Below are 25,784 nucleotides of genomic sequence, written 5' to 3'. Positions count from 1 at the left end.
CGCTGTACTTTCCAGAAGGCAACCATTGTGGACATTGTGGGGCTGTTAGGCAGCCTTTCAGTTGGTGAAAAATTGCTCCTGGAGGCTTCCCAAGTTGTCAGCATAGAGTTCCTGCTACTGTTTCAGTGTCCACAAAGCTGGCCCTGGTCCTATTTGTGGCTGCTGGCCCCTTCCTATTTGGTCACCATCAGTGATCCACAGATAACATCCCTGAGGGCCCTGTCCAGACCTTGGACTATGAGTGACCCTCAAGGCTACTTTGTTTGGCTGACGACCCTGACGAACCCCTGATTTTATATTTTCTAGGTCCCTGGGCCTTTGCCACGGTGCTCTTCCCGTGTGGACTTCCCCAAGGGCCTTGGTGCTCCCGATTCCAGCACCTCGGCTCTGCCATGTCTCTGTCTGAGCCTCTCACCAACAAGTGCAGGATGGCAATCCCCTTGTGGTGGGGCTGATAGAGTAATTAGTGGGCTCTTAGCTACCCACCCTAATGATGCTCTTTTCACACTTAAAATAAGCAGTTATTTAGTGCAAGCTAGTTCTGTTTCTAATTGTCACTTCCTAATTAGCTCTGCCAAACTTTTTTGTTGTTGTTTTTATAGATGGGTCTCACTCTGTCACTCAGACTGGAGTGCAGTGGTGTGATCATAGCTCACTGCAGCCTTGACCTCCTGGGCTCAAGTGACCCCCAGCCTCTTGAGTAACTGGGACTACAGATGTGCACTACCAGGCCTGGAATTTTTTTTTTTTGGACAGGGGTCTTGTTATGTTGCCCAGGCTGATCTTGAACTCCTGGCTTCAAGCAACCCTCCCACCTCAGTCTCCCAAAGCATTGGGATTACAGGTGTGAGCCACTGCACCTAGCCAACTCTGCCAATCTTGACCTAATAGAAAACAATATTCTAAGGTTGAGTATCTTTAACAATAATACCCCTGGTCATTCTGAAGCCACATACAAGACACCCCAAGCTGCACCATCAGATTCTCCCCAGGCTACATGCACAGACACTGTGCTTAGAGGATCATGGCAAAGCTACTCTCTGCAGTTAAGGTGAAGGGCAGAGTTTCCATGTTTTCTTACTGTGGCTAGTTAAATACCTTTATTCTCATCAACTTGACACAATGATATTCTCATCATCTATTATGTTACCAACTGATATTAATGTTGGTAGACACTTCTCTCACCAATATAACTACACTTGTTAGTACATGAGCCACACATAACTTGAAGTGACAGGTGTATTTGAATGCAACAAAAATTGCGTTAATGAGTCTTAAAATAATTGATAACAATTGGTTAAAATCTTTAGGGAATTATATCTAGTACTCTATGTATATTATAAATTGAATATTTATAAAAGGATATTTTACTCCCAAAAAGAAATATTGTAATCAATACATTCAATGACTAACTGGTGGATAAAGAAAGCTATGTTAAAAAGTGCTCATGGCCATGTGTGGTGGCTCACACCTGTAACTGCAGCACTTCAGGAGGCTGAGGCAGGCAGATAGCTTGAGCTCAGGAGTTTGAGACCAGCCTGGACAACATGGTGAAACCTCATATTTATAAAAAATACAAAAATTATCTAGGGGTGATGACCTATGCCATCCCAGTCCCAGCTACTTGGGAGGATGAGGTAGGAGGATCGCTTGAGCCTGGGAGGTAGGGGCTGTAGTGAGCTGAGATCACGCCACTGCACTCTAGCCTGGGTGACAGAGTGAGACCTTTTCTCAAAAAAAAAGTGCTCATTATTGCATAAATAATATTGAATATATTATTACAAAGCAAAGGTGATAGAGTAACCAAGAGTAACATTCACAGTGAAGCCTCTTACATTAATAGCTCTGAAACTTCTTCCAAAAATTAAAAAATTGTCAAATAAAATTTCACAAATGTACAGTATTTATTTGAAAATCAAGTCAATTATTCATTATTAATTTTAGCTGCTTTGGGTGTGTATAATTTGAAGAAAAATATTCTTTTATGAATAATACATGTTTTAGCATCTAAAATTAATCATTTGTAGTTTGGGACCAATGTATCTATTCCCACAAATCAGAATGTGCTAGAATTCAGTGAAATTAAAAAAATCAAGTAAATGTATATAGTTGGTTGATGAGTTGTGCAAAGAATTTAATTGGCATTCAAGAGGGTTTTAACTTGGATCCATTGTGAAGATAGAATATAAATAATACAATCAAGTCATCTATTTTGTTCATTTTATCGTGCTATGGGAGGAATAAAAGGGATTGATGATCAAGAAGTAAGTCATTAAAGGGCAAAAGAAGGATGGAAACCACATATGAAAGTTGGGAAGGATTGCTATATCCAAGCACAGCGTAAGTGTTGAGTTAGAATTCACATCCACTCATCAGGAGCCTGCCACACTCAGGTGTCCTTTATAGGCACAGACTCATTTAAGTACAGAAAGAAATAATTTTGCACAAAGAAGGCAGAAAAATGTCTAGGAATCAGCCCATCTCCTCTCCTGTTTGGCAGGGATGGTCACGATCCTCACTTCCCAGTTAAAGAAGCCAAAACTTCATTATGGGGTTTCACCATATTGGCCAGGCTGGTCTCGAATGCCTGACCACAAGTGATCCAAGCGCCTCAGCCTCCCAAAGTGCTGGGATTACAAGTGTGAGCCACCGCACCCAGCCAATTAGGAGTAAATAGCCAACATTTAGCCAGGTGCAGTGGCTCACTGCTTAATCCCAGCACTTTCAGAAGCTGAGGTGGGAGGATCACTTGAGCCCAGGAGCTTGAGTCCAGGCCTGCCAACGTAGTGAGACCCTGTCTCAACAAAACATTTAAAAATTAGCCAGGCATAGTGGTGTGCGCCTCTAGTCACAGCTACTTGGGAGGCTGAGATGGGAGAGTGTTTGAACCCAGAAGGTCAAGTAAGCTGTGATTGTGCCACTGTACTCCAGTCTGCATAACAGAGCAAGACCCTGTCTCAAAAAAAAAAAAATCCAAAATATATAAATAATTGATACAACTCAAAACAAATAACCCAATTTTTAAAATGTTTTAAAAAAAGAACTTGAATAGACCTTTCTTTAAAGAAGACATAAAAATAGCAAGTGGGTATCTGAAAGGTGTTCCGCATTGTAGGTCATTAGGGAAATGCAAATCAAACCCACTGAGATACCACCTCACACCCCTTATGACCATTATCAAAAAGTCAAAAGATAAATGTTGGCAAGAGTGCGGAGAAATGGGAACTTTTGCATACTATGGATGAGAATGTAGATTGATACAGCCATTCTGGAAAAGAGTATGAAGATTTCTAGAGAAATTAAAAATAGAACTACCATATGACTCAGCAATCCCTCTTCTGGGCATGCACCCAAAGGAAATGAAATCATTACTTTGTAAAGATACCTGTATTCTCATGTTCATTGCAGCCTTAATCACAATAGCCAAGATATGGAAACAACCTAAGTGTCCATCAATGGATAAATGGATAAAGAGACTGTGGCACACACACGCAATGGAATATTATTCAGCCCTAAAACAAACAAGGTCTTGCCATCTGCCGCAAGATGGATGAGGCTGGAGGACGTCATGCTAAGTGAAAAAAAGCATACACAGAAAAACATATATTGCATAAACTCATTTATATGTGGGATGTAAAAATGTAAATAAATAAATCTACAGAGATAGAGAGCAAAACATTGTTTACCAGGGGAGGTAGGAGAGGGGAGGAATTGGGGCCATGGAGGCCAAAGGATACAAAGTAGCAGGTATGAAGGATGAACAAGTCTAGAGATGTAATGGATGACATGAGGACTGCAGGGAACAAAATTGTTCTGTATGTGAAATTCATGCTCAATGAGTAGATTTCAACCTCTCTTGCCACAAAAGCAACAAGGAAATGGGGAACTATGTGAAACGATTGGTGTGTTAATTTCTTTCAGTATAGGAATCTTTTTACAATCTATATATAACCTTTAACATCATGTTGTAAGCCTTAACTATACACAAGAAAATTTATTTTTAAAAGAGAAAAATTGACAGTCAAAGACTGACAAAGCAAAGACTAAGTAAATAAAAACAGGGGTATCTGTATTTATAGCTGTTAAACAAACAAAAAACAAAAAAACAAAAAATGAGCCACCGACTGAGGCAAGTGCCCACATCAATAGAGCTTTGTGGAGCCACAATTTGACGACACCCCCGGAAAAAACACAAGCCACAGAAATGACTGTGACCCCTGCTTTCCAAAGAGGGTTTTGGGAACTCAGTATGTAAGGGGAGAAGGCAGGCAGGAGAGAAGAAAGGGAGGGGGAGCAGGCAGTGAAGGGGTGGTTACGTTCTTAGGAAGCTCTAATTAGTGCTCAGTAAATCTTCATTTTACATAAGACGAGGTAAACGTTTGAAAAGAGGGAGGAAAGAGTCAATTATGCAGCCATCTCAGGATAGCCTGAAGAGTGCTTGATCTCATGTTCTTGTTCTGTACCTGGGAAGATAAACCTGTAATCAACATTGTCAGTGTCAGATTCAATAGAACTCAGTGTTACGTCTTAAACTGAGGTTGCAGAGCCAGGGTTACAACTGGCATATGCTTATTTTATAGGGGGACATGGATCCTGAAAGATTTAGGGGCTAGCAGGGAATGTCCCTGTGAACAGTTTGTAAGAGGGGCCACATGGAGAGGTACGTGGCCTTTTGTGGTAGTGGGGACCTGGCTTATGTCTAATGCCATAACACAGGGTTGTGAAATGGCAGCTATCTCTTTGGGGAGAAAGAATGGCAGTTTTGCATGACTAAGCTCCCAAACTTATGTCTCCTTTAGCATAACAGGTTTGGCGGTTCCAAGACTTTATTTTCTTTTACATATTAAAAAAACTCTAATGAAAGAGCTATGTGAGAGATAAAGAGGGTATCTCCTAATGATAAAAGGGTGCAACCAGCAGGGAGAAAAAGGAATTCTAAATGTGTTTATGCCTGGTAACTTAACCTTAAAACACACAGAACAAAGCTTAACAAACGAAAAAAAGAAATAAGTTGACGATCATTGTGGGAAACTTTAATATCTGTGTCTCAGCCACTGAAAAATAAACAGACAAACATCAGTAAGGAAATGGAATCTTTAAAGGATGCATTTAACACGCTCCATCTAATTGAGATACGTGATACACTACGCTCAACATGCAGAATACACATCCTTTTCAAGTGCAGAAGCAATATTTATAAAAATTAATCATATTTTTGATCATTGAGAAGACACAAATTCCAAAGAGTTTTAGTTATACAAATATTTAATCACAGTGGAAGTATAAGTTTGGAAATTAAGCAAAACATTTTCAGTATGGTAAAGGGATGAATAAAATCAAAGTTTGCTTTTTTGAAACACTGATAAAATTGATGGCCCCCAGCAAGATTGATTAACAAAACAGACAAAAGGCACAAACTCTAACCGCAGACCTTATAAGTATTAAAAAGATAAATGAATAATAGAACAACTTTGAAATTTTAGATAAAATGAACAAATTGATTCAGCAAACACAGGTTACCAAAATGAATATTCATATATATGTAATTGAACCTGTAATTAAACACCTTATTAAGAAAACTACAGTCTCACATGGCTTAATAAGTGAATTCTTTCCAAATGCTTAAGGAAGAAATAGCACACATCTTACATAAATTCTGTCAGAAATAGAAGAAACATTTCTCAAATTGTCTAACCAGCATAGCTTTAATACTTCATATTAAAACCTCACAAGTCTGGGCGCAGTGGCTCACGCCTGTAATCCCAGCACTTTGGGAGGCCGAAGCGGGTGGATCACGAGGTCAGGAGATCGAGACCATCCTGGCTAACATGGTGAAACCCCGTCTCTACTAAAAAAATACAATAAATTAGCCAGGGGTGGTGGTGGGCGCCTGTAGTCCCAGCTACTCGGGAGGCTGAAGCAGGAGAATGGCGTGAACCCGGAAGGCGGAGCTTGCAATGAGCCGAGATCATGCCACTGCATTCCAGCCTAGACAACAGGGCGAGACTCCGCGGAAAAAAAAAAAAAAAAACAGAAAAACTTAGACTCCACTTTCTCTTGTGAACGTAAGTACAAAACTACCAAATGAACTAGGAGCAAGCCCATCTCAACCATATATAATATGGTATTAATCATTTATCACAACAAAGGTGATTTAATTCCAGAAATGCAATGTTCAACATTCAAAAGCCAATCACTGTTAAGTTACCTTATCAACATAAAAAGATAAGAAAAAACACTGCTCAATCAAGAAAGAAAAAAGCAATTGATACAATTCAGTACCTATTCATAAATCTTAAAACCTGTCTAACAGAGAGGAAGCAACATGTGAGTTAAACACTCCCCCAGCTGAGAATAGTGACATAACTTATTTGCAGCCAAAAGATGAAAATTGCAGGCCAGGCGCGGTGGCTCATGCCTCTAATCCCAGCACTTTGGGAGGCAGAGGCGGGCGGATCACAAGGTCTGGAGTTCAAAACCAGCCTGGCCAACATGGTGAAATCTCGTCTCTACTAAAAATACAAAAAGAAATGAGTCAGGCGTGGTGTCATGCGCCTGTATTCCTAGCTATTAGGGAGGCTGAGGCAGGAGAATCGCTTGAACCATGGAGGCGGACATTGTGACAGTGAGCCGAGATTGTGCCACTGCACTCCAGCCTGGCAACAGAGCAAGACTGCGTTTCAAAAAAAAAAAAAAAAAAAAAAAGGATGAAAATTGAATTGCAGTATAATCTTACAACTTTTGAGAAATCTATGTTTTTCAGCTAAAAAGAGACAAACTCAGCCTTTTGACCTTTCTTCTTTCCCTCCTTGGAAGGCAATCCAAGGCCTGGAAAAACAGCAGCCACATTGTAACCACAAGAATAGAAACCAGGCTAAGGAAGTATCAGGAAACTGAAAAGAACCCTGGACTGCCTTCCTCTGCACATTTTAAGTGACAAAAATGAAATCTATATTTCTTTAAGTCACTGAATCAGATTTATTCTTTCTGTGGCTACATGTAGCCCTAAATGATGTATTAAATACTAAAATAAATACTAAATTACACACTAAAATACTAAAATTTTGGTCTTGACTCCTGATCTCAGGTGATATGCCCATCTCAGCCTACCAATGTGCTGGGATTACAGGCATGAGCCACCACACCCACCTCAAAAGCTTTGTGTTTTTAAATATATTAGACATGTCTCTAGTTTAAAAAAAAAAAAACTTAACAATCATGTAGGAGAATAAGAGAAACTTTTTCCAAAAAAGAGAAATCACTGTGATTATTTTATCTTATTGGAATGTTGGATAATATAATCTGCTTTACTAATCATTACGCACACTGTAAATTTTCCATTACAACAGGATTTGTACCTCAATTAAGGTGATAAAGTTTTAAAGTTTAGAAAGTGAAAGCCAGCCCCGCCCCTCTCCCAGAGTGGGCGGGGACAGCAGTTGCATGGGCGGCTTTCCTTGTGACATCACAGGACCTTCATGACACACAGCTGCCTGGCCCCGCCTCCTTTCCCTTTCATCTTTCTCATTGACCAATGGGCTTGGAGCATTAAGGCCACGCCCCTTTTCCGCATTCTAGTGCAGCCCTGGTGACGCCTCCTGTGGCTCAGTCACATAGCTGTGTGGTACATGACTGGAGGCATATCACTGTCCTCGCCTGGATCACGCCAATGTGACCCCAACCCCACCTCCCTCCCCACCCCATGATGTCCGAAAAAACCCAACAAAGAAAATTGGCTGGGACCAAGAGAAAGGTAAAATGCATCGGATTGCAGCACCCCAACCCCAACCCAGCCCCAGGTCCCCTCTGATGGCAGAACAGCTGCCAGAATCCATGTCACTCCAGAGGCACACGGGGCTGGGCCCCCCCAGTGCCTCTGGGCTCCCCCAACCAAAATCTTTTGTCAGCCCCAATCCCTCAGCAGTCCTGCCCCTGCCCTCACCGGTCACCCCAGGGTGACTTTCAGCCGGTGACTCGTGGGGCTCCCTGCTTTGTACTCTGCCCTCACCTCCTATTGTCCAAAAACGGATCTCCCTGGGCCCTTCGGGCTCACGTTCCCAAGGAACTGGATGCCCCAGCACCTGCCCTCACCAGTCACCCCAGGGTGACTTTGGGCAGGTGACTCCTGGGGCTCCCCACTCCATACTCGGCCCTCACCTACTGCTGCCCCAAGCCTGACTTCCCTGGGCTCTTTGGGCTCACGTCTCCAAGTACCTGGGGCCCAACCCTGTGACCCCACGCCAATCTCAAAGAGGCAACTTGGGCACAGCACTGATGGGATAATGGGTTTGGTTTGGTTTTCTCCCAGGCTTCTACTCTCCAGAGAGACTTTAACAGTTTTTTCTAAGTTCTTCACCTCATATTTGAATTCTCCATGGTTCTGGGACCAGAGTGCCCATCACTCAGTGATCTTTGAAGTGAGATTTGCTCATCTTCTGTGCAAGAGATCTTGGGAAACTGGACTTGACAACTTGAATCTTCCTCATCTCATCTCAACCTGGGGTACTTTGAGTGCCACAGGATACATATGGGGCATCTTTCTGAAGCATCAGTTTTCCTTGATTCTCGTGGGAGAGACAAAACATTAATGTTCTTAGGGATGATAGTCACATAGATTTCTAAGAGTATACAAGACTTCTCTCTGAAATGCAGCTTGGGTTGTCCTCTTTCTGTTTAATTCCCACATTTAACAGAAAGGCTGCCTTCTGCCCTGAGGATACATGACTCTAAGAGGATGTACGACTGTAAACCACACAGTGTACACCTTCCTGCCTACTTCTTACTTTTCTACCTCTGCCTCTGGTTTTGGTCTCTGGCAGCTGCTGATTTGTGGCAACACCCCAGAGCTCAGAGTCAGAAGACTGAGTTTCAGTTCCATTATTGCCTTTCTTTTAGCCATGGTATCAATCCCTCTCAGTCACTAAGTGATTGCGACAACACCTCATACAGTCGTTGGTGGCATTAAATCAGATCGTCTATGAGAGTATTTTGTATAAACTGTAAAGTGACTGTAGGAGCTTGTAGTTCTCATGAGTATCACTGCTCCTCTTTTCCACAGTTCACAGACTATCATCAGTGGAACAGTGCTGGTGTTGGTACTGGAGCAACCGACACCAAAAAGAAGAAAATAAATAATGGCACTAACCCTCAGACAACCACTTCTGGGGGGTTGCCATTCACCTGAGGATGTGAGTCTTGGGGGGCCAGTCTCCTGAGGACAAGGGGCACAAGGGGAGGTCGAGGGTAACTTAAGATTGTGGAAGGAAGAACTGCCGGGTACTGGTTAAGAATTCTGGGTCTGAATCCTACCTCTCTCTCCATCTGCGAGGGACACGGTTTAGGGAAAATTGCTCGAGTTCTTTGGACCTCTCTTTTCACATCTGTAAAATAGGGGTGGTAATGTTTTACTTACATGTGTGAAGCTTAAATCAGATTTGTTGTTGTTGTTTTTGTGTTAATCCCTAGTCCAGAGCCTGCTGTAAACTCCCCTCCTCTTTGGGCTTCCGTTTCCTGAGGAGGTAGAGTTAGAGTATCAGAGGTTTCTGTTTGCTCTGAGAGTCTGAGATTTAAAGATTCACTAGAATGGAAACCTTGGGGCCAAGGGCTCCTGTCTGCCTTTTCCGTCCTATATCCCAGCAGTGAAGAACCGTCCCCAGCCCCTATGTGCTTGCTCAATGCTTGTTGAATGAACACATCTTTCTACATCACAAGCTAGCAGAAGGGTGGGCTTTTCTCACACTCTTATGTCGGAAGGTTTATGTTACTGTCTTTTCCAGAGAATCTACTTTCAGACTTTCAGTTCTGTGGCTGTGGGCAAAAACCAACAAAGACCCAGATCCTTTTTCTTTGGGCATTAAGGAAAGTTGACCAGTTCGTGTTCCCATTGGGTCTAAGAACTTTGCCCTTAAAATCCATTCCTGACCCCTGCCTACTGCTTCCTGGCCTGGGGAATAGAGTCGAGGGGCCACCCTCAGTCACCTTCCTTTGACTCTCCCCACAGAAACAACAGAACCGAGCTCAGCTGAAAGAGGTAACATGATTTCTTTCTTTGCTCACGACATGACCGCTGGGTTTGGGGGGCACTCAGATGTAGAGGCCCCAGTCTCGTCTCACCTACTCCCAGCCTGGGGAGGAAGGCTCACCTCCCAGATTCCACCCCATCCCCACAGGGTCCCTGATAACCTGGTCCCATGGGTGGGCCTGTCCTGGGACAGTGGTGCCATTCTGGGGGCATGTCTCTTGCTGTGCCATCTCTGCCTCCCTCTAGTAAGAGCTCTGTCTTCCTCTTCTTTTCTATAGGAAAAGAAGGCAAGCCACCAACATCAGCAAGCCCTAAGGAGGCAGCTAGAGGTGAGTGGAGGGTGTGAAGTTCCCTCCTGTCCTCTGGAGAAGGTTTCTTTGCTTCTCTTTCAGCACTTGCTTTTCTTGTCTCCCAAAGGCCCAGGATCATACCATACGAATCCTTAAGTGTCAGAAAACTGAACTGGAAACAGTGCTCCATGACAGCCAGGATGCTGCCAGGAAATTTGAAGGTGGGAATCTGGGCACCCCGTCATCCTTCAACCTGGCACTTTCACAGGCCTTTGGGCTGCAGCTCAACCTCTCTCATTCCAGAAGATTCCAAGGATCTGGCAGGCCGCCTGCATCATTCCTGGTACTTTGCAGGAGAGTTACAGCGGGCTCTCTCTGCTATGTCCGCAGAGCACAAGAGGGTGGACAGGGTGAGTCCAACCACCTACCCGGTCCCCTGGGAGCCCAGCTTCGCAGATGGAGGAATGAGCCTAAAGGTCCCTTCTGCAGGATGCAGTGTCCTGCCCAGAAGACAGCATGGGCCATTTCTTGCTGCTTTTGTGCGTGGTTGTTAGAGGCAGGTTGGGGCTGAGTCAGCTGCTGTGGGTGAGTTGCAGGGCGCTGTGGGGAGCGAGCACTGGACACAGAGCTCGGAGGCCAAGTGCCCACCCCACCCATACTTGGCTGTGGCCTTGGTCAAATCCTAGGCAGAGTTTAGGGTACTTGTACCATGAAGGTACAGAAGAGTATCTTTAGTATGTTACCATTTGTGTAGAGAGAGGGAACACATGTACGTGTGTGTGTGTGTGTGTGTGTGTGTGTGTGTACATACGTATTATGGTAATATACATAAAACATGTTTGTAAGGATTCATAAAAAACTCAGGAGAGAGGAACAGTGTTGGGGGAAGATATTTCCCTTCTGTACCTTCTGAGGTTTGGACTATGCCAATGTATCATTCTTTCAAAAATCAACAAAGGATTAATTTCCTCCTCCTTATCTGTGCCCCTACCCCCAACCAAAAGAATGGGTTTAGAGAATCAGATATACCTGGGTGTTGAAATCCCAGCTCTAAGTTATCTTAGGCAAGCACTTAACCTTTAATACCCCATGTTTTTCATCTACACAATAGAGGTGATAATGATAACTATCTCCTATGGTGGTTGTGAGGATTAAATGGGATTGTTAGCTTAGTGCCTGGTGAAGCACTCAAGAAAGGTTCCAACAGTGGTAATAATAACAGTAATAGCAATAGCAAAATTATCTGATCGCTCTGGGCCCCTGTTAGCCAGCTATCAATTCAGTCTCTTTCCCTGTCCCTTCCACCCTTACTGAGTTCTCTGAAAAACAAGTGAGAGCCAGGTGCAGTGGCACATGCCTGTAATCCCAGCTACTTAGGAGGCTGAAGCAGAAGAATCGCTTGAAGCCGGGAGGCGGAGGTTGCGGTGGGGTGAGATCGCGCCATTGCACTCCAGCCTGGGCAACAAGAGCAAAACTCCATCTCAAAAAAAAAAAAAAAAAAGAAAAGAAAAACAAATGACACCATGGGTTTGGAAATGCCTTGAGAACATGTCGGGTGTGATGGAGAGGAGCAAGTGTTACTGTGGAGCATCAGTGTAGCTGTCGTTACTGGTCGTCCAGCTGCTCCTCTGCCTGCTGTATCCTGACTTGACCTTTCTCTATTTGCAGTACATCGAGGAGTTAACAAAGGAGAGGGAAGCCCTGAGTCTGGAGCTGCACAGGAACATGTAGGATGGGGGAGCGGGGGATGGGAGGTCTGAGAGCCCTTAGCATGGGTGGTGTGCTGGGAGGTGGTGGGTACAGGTGAGCATGCTAGGGGGTCATACAGGTTTACATGTGTGCGCAGGGAAGCTCCAGTGATGGCTGTGCCACTGACTCATGGGGTAGCCTCAGGCAACTCACGTCTTCTCTCTGGCCTGCCACCTGGGACTTTTAATTCCTGGGGTCTCTTCCAATGCCACGGTTCTGTGGTTGTGGGGCGAGGGTAGAGGGTCGATCACCAAAGCGGTCCTTTCTGTTCTTTGCTCATTCCTTTCTCTACTGCCTCTGGCCATAGCATAACCAATGAGGAGCTGAAGGAGAAAAATGCCGAACTACAAGAAAAACTTCGACTGGTAGAAACTGAAAAGTCTGAGATCCAGCTCCACATCAAGGAGCTAAAAAGGAAACTGGAGACGGACAAAATCCCGCTGCCACAGGTGAGCGGCTGCAGCCCCGGGGGTGTGGGAGCCGCATCCGGCTGGGACATGGTCTAGGGATCATGCAGGGTATGGGGAGGCTCCAGCCAGGAGCTGGAAAATTTGGGTCCTTGTTCTGGTCCCACCATAGAATCCTATAGAGTGTGCTAAAAATCTACAAATTGGGACCATGCCTGGGAAATCAGAACCTCAGGGTTAGGGCTTAAAATTTCTTTTTAAAGAATCATAGACGAAAACCGTTATTTTATAGATTACATTTATATACCTAGCTTATGACTCTATTTCCTTTTAAGGTTCAAACCAACACTTTGCAGGAGAAGATGTGGAGGCAGCAGGAGGAGCTACGGGATCAGGAGAAGCTACGGAAGCACGAGGAGAAGATGTGGAGACAGGAGCAGAGGCTGCGGGACCAGGAGAAGGAGCTGCGGGAGCAGGAGTAGCGGATGCGAAAGCGGGAGCAGCAGATGCGAAAGCGGGAGCAGCAGATGCGGGAGCGGGAGCAGCAGATGCGGGAGCGGGAGGAGCAGATGCGGGAGCGGGAGGAGCAGATGCGGGAGCGGGAGGAGCAGATGGGGGAGCGGGAGGAGCAGATGCGGAAGCGGGAGGAGCAGATGCGGAAGCGGGAGGAGCAGATGCGGAAGCGGGAGGAGCAGATGGGGGAGCGGGAGGAGCAGATGGGGGAGCGGGAGGAGCAGATGCGGAAGCAGGAGGAGCAGATGGGGAAGCAGGAGGAGCAGATGCGGGAGCAGGAGGAGCAGGTGCGGAAGCAGGAGGAGCAGGTGCGGAAGCAGGAGGAGCAGGTGCGGAAGCAGGAGGAGCAGGTGCGGAAGCAGGAGGAGCAGGTGCGGAAGCAGGAGGAGCAGGTGCGGAAGCAGGAGGAGCAGGTGCGGAAGCAGGAGGAGCAGGTGCGGAAGCAGGAGGAGCAGGTGCGGAAGCAGGAGGAGCAGGTGCGGAAGCAGGAGGAGCAGGTGCGGAAGCAGGAGGAGCAGGTGCGGAAGCAGGAGGAGCAGGTGCGGAAGCAGGAGGAGCAGGTGCGGAAGCAGGAGGAGCAGGTGCGGAAGCAGGAGGAGCAGGTGCGGAAGCAGGAGGAGCAGACGGGGGAGCAGGAGGAGCAGATGCGGAAGCAGGAGAAGCAGATGCTGAAGCAGAAGAAGCAGATGGGGAAGCAGGAGGAGCAGATGGGGGAGCAGGAGGAGCAGATGCGGAAGCAGGAGGAGCAGATGCGGAAGCAGGAGGAGCAGATGCGGAAGCAGGAGGAGCAGATGCGGAAGCAGGAGGAGCAAATGGCGGAGCAGGAGGAACAGATGCAGAAGCAGGAGGAGCAGGTGCGAAAGCAGGAGGAGCAGGTGCGGAAGCAGGAAGAGCAGATGCGGAAGCAGGAGGAGCAGATGCGGAAGCAGGAGGAGCACATGCGGAAGCAGGAGGAGCAGATGCGGAAGCAGGAGAAGCAGATGGGGGAGCAGGAGGAGCAGATGCGGAAACAGAAAGAGCAGATGCGGAAGCGGGAGGAGCAGGTGCGGAAGCGGGAGGAGCAGGTGCGGAAGCGGGAGGAGCAGATGGGGGAGCAGGAGGAGCAGATGCGGAAGCAGGTCGAGAGGCTGTGATTCAAGGAGGAGAGGCTGTGGGTTGAGTATGAGAAGATGCAGGAGGAGGAGGAGAAGGTCCGGGGGCAGGTGGAGAAGATGCGGGAGAAGAAGGAGAGGATGGGAGAGCAGGAGGAGAAGATGCAGGAGGAGCGGTGCTCAGAGCCCTGCCTCCCTCCCTCCAAATATCCTTGTGATATGAGCCATGCTGGCAGCCTGAAGCCTGCACGAGAGGCTGGGAAGGGCTATTCCCATGACAACCGCACTGCACAGCAGATCACGCAGCTGCCCCCTGGAATGAAGAACACCCAGGAGCACCCAGGCTTAGGCAGCACCTCCTGCATCCTATTCTTCTACCGAGGAGACAAGAAAAAGATCAAGATCATCAATATCTAAAAAGAACGGTCAACAAGGCCTACAGAAGTGTAAGCCGCCACGTGACCTTGTGAATACAGTCTGAGAACAAACTTGAAAAAAAGAAAATTTATTTTAAATTGTGGCAAAATACTGGCCGGGCATGGCGGCCTGCACCTGTAATCACACCACTTTGGGAGGCCTAGGCGGGTGGATCACCAATCCTAGGTACGTGGGAGGCTGAGGTTGCAGTGAGCTGAGATCACACCACTGCACTCCAGTCTGGGTGACAGAGTGAAACTCCCATTTCAAAAAAAAAAAAAAAAAAATTTCTACCTGAGGACTCTAATATCTATGTATGTTTCTATTGTTTTTTTTGTTTGTTTTCTCCTTTCGTCTTGTCTTGTCTTATGGCATGCCTAGTAAAGTTTTATCTGCCTCCAGAGAGTACTGACTTTGACTTTATGGCACAGAATTGGCGTTCAAGCAGATCACCTTCATCTAGTTTGGGACTAAGCTGGCTCAAAGCAGGTTTTAGTTTTTGTGACAGCTGGTCTATTTTTTATCCTTTTGGACTCTTAGGGGTGGCCCTTCCAGGATCCCCACCAAGGTCTCATCTCCTTACTGGGACCCAAATTCTCATTATGTCATTTCAGCCCTGTGAGAGTGCCAAACGTTCAGCTAGGCTCTCCAGCCTCTCAACTATCACTTCATACTCAGTTTCTTAGCCTCTTAGCCCTCTACTGTTGACCGATCACCAAATGTGGGAAAAGCACTAAGGACTGTCAGGATCACCTCCTAGGCCTGGTCACTCAAGTCCTGGCTGAGGTCTCCAATTACCTTCCAACAATTGTTTTTGATGGTGGGGGGAAGGGGGGACACATTTTTGTCCAGTTTTTCTAACTGTTCCTGTGGGGAGGCTAATCTATAACAAGCTACTCTGCCTTTAATGAATGTTGAAAACCCTTTTTTTTTTTTTTTTTTTGAGATGGAGTCTCACTCTGTTGCCCAGGCTCTAGTGCAGTGGTGCAATCTCTGCTCACTGTAACCTCCACCTCCTGGGTTCAAGCAATTCTCCTGCCTCAGCCTCCCAAGTAGCTGGGATTACACGCGTATGCCACCACCCCTTGCTAATTTTTATATTTTTAGTAGAGACGGGATTTCACCATGTTGTCCAGGCTGGTCTCGAGCTCCTGACTCAGGTGATCTACCCGCCTCGGCCTCCCCAAGTGCTGGGATTACAGGCGTGTGCCACTGCATCCAGCCCATCTGTCTTTTTAAAAATGTTTCTAATTTGAGGTATAATTTATATCCCATGAAATGCACAGATCTGGTTTACATTTTGATGACTTTTAACAAATGCATTACCCATGTAACCCACCTCCTTTGAAGATATGGAACATTTTATCATCCAGAAAGTTCTCCTGTGCTTTCATCCTGTCCGGCACTCCCCCAGCAGCTGATGAACGTGCTGAGGACATTGGTACAGGATTCTGGCCTCCCCAAAAGAGCTGCTTTGACAAGCCTGCTTGCCTTACCCAGCACTAAATCCCTGCCTGTTCTCTCAAAATTTCCATCTTTAAACTGCTTGTACCTATAACCCTCCCACATCAAATCCATAGATAAACCAGCCCACAGCCTAATATTTACTGTATACCCAAGCTTTCAGAAATACGACTCCCAGGAGTGGGGACTGGTGGCTGCATCCCCTCCTCCTCCTGGAAGCCTCTACCAGCCTACAGAGCCCACAGAGTAGATCTCACCAGGCAGCCTGAGCCTGAAAGTGCCGTGGAGCCTCCTGCTGGTTCACCCTCACTACGGTGGCAGCTGCACGGGAGCACCTGGGCTCACTCATTAAGCAAGAAGACATTGGCTTGATACTGACACTCCAACCCCAGCCTGGGCGAGCCTGGCTGAAAGGCCCCTTCCTTCTGGTCAGACTGTGGGGAGACGCGGCGGAGCATACACACTCTACTGCCTTCCTCATGCTTCAGCTGTGCTTCCTTCTTAACAGAGGGAGCCGCTCATGGATTTGGCCAAAGCCTTCCCGAGGGCTGTAGGTTTGACAGGCTGGGTGTGTAGGGGCCACCGTGCTAGAGAGAGAGACTGGTGTGTCAGAAGGCAGCCACCTGGCCAGAGGGGGGTCAACCCCCTTGGTAACCTCCTTCCCCCAGCTGGACACAGAGCCCTGCACTCTCCACATGTGACTGCTCCCCTCAGAGCTGCCACCAGAAGAGGGGTTCTAACCCTGTGGGTGGGGACATTGTGTTACTTTACAGTGGGCCATGGCTCCCTCTGACATCTCCAAATCAGAGGCAGTAGAGAGAAGATGAGAAATTCCCTGCGCCTCTAGTCCTAGCTACTTGAGAGGCTGAGGCAAGAAGGTCACTTGAGCCCAGGAGTTCAAGGCTGCAGTGAGCTATGATTACATCAACGCATTCCAGCCTGAGTGACAGAGTGAGACCCAATCTCAAAAACAACAATAATAAGTTAAACATAAATCTAACTACCACCTTATTGGCCAGGTGCGGTGGCTCACACCTGTAATCCCAGCAATTTGGGAGGCTGAGGTGGGTGGATCACGAGGTCAGGAGATGGAGACCATCATGGCTAACACAGTGAAACCCAGACTCTACTAAAAATACAAAAAAATTAGCCAGGCATGGTGGCGGGCGCCTGTAGTCCCAGCTACTCAGGAAGCTGAGGCAGGAGAATTGCGTGAACCCGAGAGGCGGAGCTTGCTGTGAGCTGAGATGGCGCCACTGCACTCCAGCCTGGGCGACAGAGCGAGATGCCATCTCAAAAAAAATAAATATGTAAGCATTCCACATTATTGACCAATTCCACTCCTAGGTATAGACACAAAGAATTAAAAGCAGACACTCAAGACACTGGTAAACCAATGTTGATAGCAGCATTACTCACAACAGTCAAGAGATGAAAGCAACCTGATTGCCCACTGATGAAGGGATAACATGTGGCTTACATATATAATGGAATAGCATTGAGCCTTTAAAAGAAAATTTTGACACATGCGGATGAACCCCAAACACCTAACAAGTTCAATAACCCAGTCACAAAAGGACAAATACTGTATGATTCCCCTTATAGGAGACACCTTGAGTAGTCAAATTCTGAGACAAAAGTAGAATGGTGGTTGCTTGGGGACAGAAGGAGTTAGTGTTTCATGGATACGGAGTTTCAGTTGGAGAAAGGGCAAAAGTTGTAGAGATGGATGGTGGTGACGGCTGGGCAATAATGTGAATATACTTAATGCCAATGAACTGTACACATAAAAATGATTAAAATGGCAAGTTTTACGGTATGTATATTTTACCACAATATTTAAATTTTTTTAATTACATTTTTTAAAATTGTTACCAAAAAATACAAATAATCCATCCAAGTTATTTAGAAAAGGAGCGTCAGATCAAGCTTTCCAAAGTGCCAAAACTCAGAAGATTACCTGGTTGCTTGCCCCACGCCCAGGTCTCCAGAATTGACTTGGCCCTATATACAGGTGCAGGAGTTTCGTCTTCATCTTTTTTCTCTTTGTCATTCAGATCTTCTTTCTTTGTTTCACTTGGTTCGACACTATCATCTGCAGAATTAAAAAATTTTTTAATCTGTCACCACTTTTCAGAATGTCACACCATTAGTCTCTGCAAATGTCCCTCCCCGAAAAGTTACAACACACATCATTAACTGAATGGCATGCCGTGTCCCCCACCCCAGGGCTGTGAGCATGTGTGACTAATAAACTGCTATTTCATCTGCCCAGTGTCGGTGTCCTACGTTCAGCCATCCCATATTCCTAGGGCAGGAATCTTCTAGGGTTATAAACAGAACTTTAATCAACCTCTCCTTGGTTATTTTACTGGTTCCATGATACAGCTTTTTCTGTGCAAAAGATCAGAACAGAAACTTCACAGAGGATACAAGAGTGGCAAAGAAGAACATGATATTCAGCATTCTTAGCCATTACGGAAGTGCAAATTAAAACCACAATGAGATCCCACTAGACTTGTTAGAATGGCTCAACTAAAAAACACTGATAACACCAAGTGCTAACAAAGGCACAGAGCAACAGAAACGTGACAGATTGCCAGTGGGAATGCAAACTAAAACAGCCACTTCGGAAAACAGTTCAGCACATGACCCAACTTTCACACTACTAGGTCTTTATCCTAGGGAAATGGAAACGATATTCACATAAAATCTGTATAGAAATGCTCACAGCAGGATTACAATTGGGAAAGAAAAATGGAAACAACCACAGGGTCCTACAATGGCAGAATGGATAAACACCATGTGGTACATCCAAATGATGAAATACTAATCAGCAATAAAAACAACTATTAATACACAGAACAGCAGATAAATCTCAAACATATAACTGGGAGTAAATGAAGATGGTTTCAAAACGTTACTTAAAATATGGTTCCACTTACATGACATTCTCAAAAAGAATACCCTATACTGATGGAGAACAGATCCGTGGTTGCCAGGGTATGAGACCAGGGAACACGTGATAAAAAGGAGCAGCACAAGGGAGCTTTTGGGGTGAAGAAAATTCTCCATCCTGATGATGATGGGGGTTACATGAATCTATAGAGGTCAAAATTTACTGAACTACATACCACAATAAAATAAATTTCATATAAGTTTTTTAATAAAAATATGTTGGCTGGGTGGGTGCGGTGGCTCACACCTGTAATCCCAGCACTTTGGGAGGCAGAGGCAGGTGGATCACAAGGTCAGGAGTTCGACACCAGCCTGGCCAACATGGTGAAACCCTGTCTCTACTAAAAATACAAAAATTACCCAGGCTTGGTGGCACGTGCCTATAATCCCAGCTACTTGGGAGGCTGAGGCAGGAGAATGGCTTGAACCTGGAAGGCGGAGGTTGCAGTGAGCCGAGATCACACGATCACACCATTGCACTCCAGCCTGGACCACCGAGTGAGACTTCATCTCAGGAAAAAAAAAAAAAAAAAAAAAAGAAGGAAAATATCTAGGTCCAGGGAGGACAGCTGGAATACAGTCTGGTGGAATCATGTCAGAGCAGGGAGCTGGGTCTGGAGGGCTGGAGTAGGGTGCGGCCCCACTCTAGGAAGGAACTAGGAAAGGCATCCTGGGTGAAGCAAGAGCAGAGTCCCGTTCTGCAACAGGTGAGCATTTATCCTGATCTGAGAAACTACATGCAAATTTAATACGTCTCACTTAGCCTCTTATTTTCCTTAACAACATGGAAAATGAGAGGACAAACAATTCAGAAGGTTAAGACATGAAATACATTTAATTCAGAAATCATACACAGAAAGGTAGGAAATGAATGGGGGAAAAAAGCAGCTAATGGAAAGTGAAAATGGGCCAGATGCGGTGGCTCACGCCTGTAATCCCACCACGTTGGGAGGCCGAGGTGGGCGGATCACTTGAGGTCAGGAGTTTGAGACCGGCCTGGCCAACATGGTGAAACCCGATCTCTACTAAAAAGATCAAAATTGGCCCGGCATGGTGGCAGCCACCTGTAATCCCAGCAGCTCGAGAGGCTGAGGCAGGAGAATTGCTTGAACCTGGGAGGCAGAGGTTGCAGTGAGCTGGAATCTCGCCACTGGACTCCAGCCTGTACAACAGAGTAGGACTCTGTCTCAAAAAAAAAAAAAAAAAAAAAAAAAAATGAAAATAACCTAACATGTACTATGCAAAGCATCTGGCCTAACAACAATATATTACCCTTTTAAATCTTTACAAACAACCTTGAAGGAGGCAGGCTTTGTTGTCTCCAGTTTACCAAGGTAGATAGACATCTTGGGTCACAGAATACACAGCAGAACCCAGCCAGGAACACAGCTCAGGTGAGAACACAGGTGCTGGCTCTAAAGGCCAGACTCTGCCCTATGTGTGTGTATGTGTGTGTGTGTTTGGGGTCACTAACCACAGCCCAGGAGCCAAACCCAGCCCACAGCCTCTTTGTGTATGGTCTGAACGCAGAGAAAGTATTTTATTTTTGTTGTTGTTTTGAGACAGAGTCTTGGCTCATCACAACCTCTGCCTCCCAGGCTCAAGCGATTCTCCCAGGTTCAAGTGATTCTCCTGCCTCAGCCTCCGAGGAGCTGGGATTACAGGCGGGCATCACCATGCCCGGCTAATTTTTTGTTTTTAGTAGAGATGGGGTTTCACCATGTTGGCCAGGCTGGTCTCGAACTCCTGACCTCAGGTGATCCGCCTGCCTCAGCTTCTAAAAGTGCTGGGATTACAGGTGTGAGCCACCACGCCCGGCCACTGTATTTTATATTTTTTAATAACTGAAAAACAATAAAAAGAAAAACAGTATTTTGTGACTTGCAAACATTCTGTGGACTTCATCTTTTGGTGTCCATAAATACACTTTACAGAATGAACGTCCCCTGCCCGCTGACGTGGTATTGTCTGTGGCTACTTTGGCACTAAATCTGCAAGGTCTCATGGCTATGACAGAGACCATAGGGTCCATTGAGACCTTAAAATATTTACTATCTGGCCCTTTAGAGAAAGTAGGCCACCCCTACCCTACAGCTGGCTATAAATTTTACACATTAAAAAAATGCAACATTCTTAATTTTAAACTCAGTACACTGGAACACTGCTCATCTCCCTTCTTCAAGATGAAAAGCTTCGACAGTCACCAGGAAGCAGACAAGAACCCTAAGTACACCTCAAGAGTTATTCTCAGGAGCATAAATTACAACACTTTACAATAGCAAAAGCAGGATGAAGTCACTGGAGGCCACGAAAACAACCAAGAGTAATTAGCACCACCAGCTCAAAGACCACACCACATCAACTTCAAAGTTGTCTACTCTTCCTTTCACTACTGTAGGGTTCAAAGTATACATAGAGAAGATCGAACACATACTACCCAAACACATTGCTTATGGAATGCTGGAGAGAAGGGAAGCGAGACCTCCCATTGGCCAGGTGTGGTGGCTCACGCCTGTAATCCCAGCACTTTGAGAGGCCAATGTGGGAGGATCACTTGCACCCAGGAGATCAAGACCAGCCTGGCCAACACAGCAAAACCCCATCTCTACTAAAAATACAAAATACGGCTAGGCATGGTAGCTCACATCTGTAATCCTAGCACTTTGGGAAGCCGAGGTGAGGGGATCACTTGAGGTCAGGAGTTCCAGAGCAGCCTGGCCAACATAGTGATACCCCATCTCTACTAAAAATGTGGCTGACACCTGTAATCCCAGCACTTTGGGAGACTGAGGCGGGTGGATCACAAGGTCAGGAATTCGAGACCAGCCTGACCAACATGGTGAAACCTCGTCTCTACTAAAAATTCAAAAATTAGCCGGGCATGCTGGCGTGCACCTGTAATACCAGCTACTCAGGAGGCTGAGGCAGAGGATCGCTTGAACCTGAAAGGCGGAGGGTAGTGGTGGCGGGCACCTGTAATGCCAGCTACTTGGGAGGCTGAGGCAGGAGAACTGCTTGAACCCGGGAGGCAGAGGTTGCAGTGAGCCAAGATCACGCCACTGCACTCCAGCCTGGGCAACAGAGCAAGACCCTGTCTCAGAAAGTAAAATAAAAAATTCATAGTCTTAATAATGGAAAACAAAAACATTTACTGAATGTCAAAACGTCTTCCTAAAAACCCCAATCAGTTGGGTTCTACATAAAGAACAATTAGGCTCTGCTTTCTAACCATGATTTTTAAAAGAACAAAGGACAAAAAAAGTCATCAAATGTGGTCCAGGCACAGTGGTTCACACCTGTAATCCCAGCACTTTGGGAGGCCAAGGAGGGTGGATCATGAGGTCAGGAGTTCAAGACTAGCCTGGCCAATATGGTGAAACTCTGTGTCTACTAAAAATACAAAAATTAGCTGGCCATGGTGGAGGGCACCTGTAAACCTAGCTACTCTGGAGGCTAAGGCAGAGAACTGCTTGAACCCAGGAGGCGGAGGTTGCAGTGAGCCAAGATCATGCCACTGCACTCCAGCCTGAGAGACAGAGCAAGAGTCCCTCTCAAGAGGAAAAAACAAAAACAAAAATTCATGAAATGTAATAAATAAAATATACACTTTGGATTTTTCCATGTACTTAGCTTTTCTTAGAGCATCTTTTAGAATTATTGTTTCACAAAAAACACTTTGGGAAACGTTTTAATTTATTAACAAATACTGGAGGGCTAGGAAGAAGAGGTTAAAACTTTTCAAAATATACAGAATGAATTACTGATACGTGTAAAAAAAAAAATAAAAAAAGTTGCTGACTCCTGTCATGGAAGGCACTGTCATATGGACACTCCTAGCCTCAGCATCCGGAGGTCCAGAAAGGGAAAATTTCAAGTCAGAGAGAATTCTATACATACCATTTATTTGGAACCTTCAGCCCTTAAGATCCCAACATTATGACCTCAGTTTCAACACAATTGTCCTTAGTCCTTGTATTGGTTACAAATACAAAACAAACAGCTCAACTGAACTCTTTTCTCTCCAGAAACACAAACACAAGACCTCATAAAAGGAGTGAGTTTCTAGCGGCCATAATTACTGCAACTTACTTCTCCAATTTTCCCCTCCACAGTTAACTCAACAGCTCAAAAACTATCAGTAACAAACAACAGTCACCATGATATGGTTAGGAGTGCAGCAGATTTCTCAACCAGTAATAATAATTAAGAAAAAAATTTTGCCTATTAATAAATCTTGTTTCCTGCACTTGCAAGAAACTAATTAAAAGGCAGCCCTGCACGATCTACAAAAACAGCCATAAAGACTGTTACATTTTAAGTTACAGGAAACAAACCTGCTCCTCTAATATAGCAAGATACAACTGACTTCCCCTTACACACCCTAAAAAAAAGCCTTACACGAGAAATTTAAACATGGAAGCAGAAATACACCAAGAAAAAGACATGTCAAACCCCACCTGTATATCTGTTTTCAACCATTCGGTGTCAAGGCGAGCCTGGGCAGCCAAACACAAAGATTCAGAGGGCATCTTTTCTCCAGCTTCCTCCCAGGTCTCAGGCCTGCAAGTAAACATACATGTTGAAGACCTAACGCTTTTTAATATTTTACAAAGACACTCCCGAAAGGTTTAATGCAGAAAAAAAAGGGAGACAGAGAACAAAAAGATGGGAGAGAAGAGCTGGGGGGACGGGAGTGAAGTGGAGAGAGGGAAAGAGGAAACAGATGGAGGGAGAGGGAGGTGGGGAAGGGAAAGCCTCCTTCCAAGGTAGGCAGGGTGTGCTGGTTTCTCCGGAGGCCAAATCACAATGTCATCCCCCTGCCCTCAAATCCAAAAGGTACACACACACATGACAGAAAGCCCATCGTTTTTTGTTTTGTTTTGAGATGGAGTCTCCCTCTGTCACCCAGGCTTGAGTGCAGTGGCGGAATCTCAGCTCACTGCAAGCTCCACCTCCCGAGTTCACACCATTGTCCTGCCTCAGCCTCCCGAGTAGCTGGGACTGCAGGCGCCCGCCACCACGCCCAGCTAATTTTTTTGTATTTTTAGTAGAGACAGCGTTTCGCCGTGTTAGCCAGGATGATCTCGATATCCTGACCTCGTGATCCGCCCACCTCGGCCTCCCAAAGTGCTGGGATTACAGGCTTGAGCCACCGCGCCTGGCCAAGAAGCCCACAGTTTTAACGACAAATGACAGCAGCATGAATCTGCCGCTTTACCCTACAGCAGGGCGCCTGCGTGAAACAAATTACTCAAAAGGATCACCTGCAGAAAAACCCACAGCCACCACCACTTAGAGATGGAGAGAGACCCGAGGCTGCGCCACGGGCGGTCCGCGCAGGCCCCCGTTAGGCCGCCCGCCAACCCCGCGCCCGCACCTCCTCCGACGCTGGCAGCCCCGGTGCCCCAGGCCGGGACCTGACGCGCAGGCCCCAGGTGCCTCGCCCCGCTGGCTTGCGGACACAGCCTCCTAGCAGCCGCTGGCTCAGGCGGCGCCAGGGATCCTGACGCCTCTCGCGACCCCCGCCACCGGCGCTTATGGCCAATCTCAAGGCGGCTCCCTGGGCGCAGCCAATGGGGAAGAGGAGCGCTTCGCCGCTCCTCCGGACTCTCCCGCTTCCTGCAATGCGGTTTATCTTCCTACTTGGAGCCCACCGGCTGAGGCCAGGGGGCAACCGCAGGCGCCGGAAGGCGGGATTTCCGCGGCACGCACGCACAGCCGCACTCCTACGGAAGTCAGTTTCTCACCACGTGAATTATTTGAACTTAGCACCACTAAACGTGGAGCAATCAGGTACAGAGTGCTTTCAGACCTCATGTAATAGAAATCACTGACACCATCTATTTTTTTTTTTGAGACAGAGTCTCATTGCGTCGCCGAGACTGGAGTGCAGTGGCATGGTATCGGCTCACTACAACCTCCACCTCCCGGGTTTAGGTGCCTCAGCCTTCCGAGTAGCTGGGATTACAGGCATCTGTCACCACACCCGGCTAATTTTTGTATTTTCAGTAGTGACGGGGTTTCATCGTGTTGGCCAGGCTGGTCACGAACTCCTGACCTCTGGTGATCTGCCCGCCTCAGCCTCCTAAAGTTCTGGGATTACAGCTGTGAGCCACCGTGCCCGGCCTATTTCATATTTTAAATATTAGAAAAGTAGAACTTGGCCAGGTGTGTTGGCTCACACCTGTAGTCTTGGCACTTTGGGAGGCTAAAGTGGGAGGTTCGCTTGAGCCCGGGAGTTCAAGACCAGCCTGGGCAACATAACAAGACCCTGTCTATTCAAAAAATAAAATTAGCCAGGTGAGGTGGCACGTGCCTGTGGTCCCAGCTACTCGGGAGGCTGAGGCAGGAGAATCGCTTGAACCCCAGAGGCGGAGGTTGCAGTGTGCCGAGATCGTGCTATCCAGTCTGGGAGGCAGAGCCAGACTCCGTCTCAAAATAAGAATAAGGAGGAGAGGGAGAGGGAGAGGGAGACGGAGAGGGAGAGGGAGACGGAGAGGCAGAGGCAGAGGGAGAGGGAGAGGGAGAAAGAAGAAGAAGAAGAAGAAGAAGAAGAGGAAGAGGAAGAGGAGGAGGAGGAGAAGAAGAAGAGGAAGAATAAGAGGAGGAGGAGGAGGAAGAGGAAGAAGAAGAAGAAGAAGAAAGAAGAAGAAGAAGGAAGAAGAAGGAGAAGGAGAAGAAGAAGAAAAGAAGAAGCTGCTTGGGTGGTGGAGGGCCACCCCCGGGCATTGGCCACCTGTGGAGTGACCTGGCTCTTGGCTCCCTGGCAGCCAGCTTCTGGGTCAGGCATCTTCGTTGGTGACTGCCCCTTCAGCTCTCCTGGTGTGGCCGTGAGTGGTGTGGCACTGCCGTGACCCATCTTTTTGTTTTGAAG

The 25,784-nt window shown here is 46.5% G+C and overlaps 1 pseudogene across 1 annotated transcript; it reads left to right on the top strand.

The window, feature by feature from the left end:
- The first annotated feature begins 7,547 nt into the window (after positions 1-7,547).
- Positions 7,548-12,932, top strand: LOC442132 (golgin A6 family-like 1 pseudogene; annotated as a pseudogene). Its single transcript, NR_033906.2, has 8 exons — positions 7,548-7,753; positions 9,059-9,188; positions 10,001-10,030; positions 10,300-10,350; positions 10,439-10,532; positions 10,615-10,721; positions 11,980-12,509; positions 12,803-12,932. The product of NR_033906.2 is annotated as a golgin A6 family-like 1 pseudogene (transcript).

The sequence above is a fragment of the Homo sapiens genome, chromosome 5 (genome assembly GCF_000001405.40).
Source record: "Homo sapiens chromosome 5, GRCh38.p14 Primary Assembly".
Classification (NCBI taxonomy): Eukaryota; Metazoa; Chordata; class Mammalia; order Primates; family Hominidae; genus Homo; species Homo sapiens.
The sequence above is the reverse complement of the archived record's forward strand: the minus strand, read 5'-3'. Positions and strand labels throughout refer to the sequence as shown.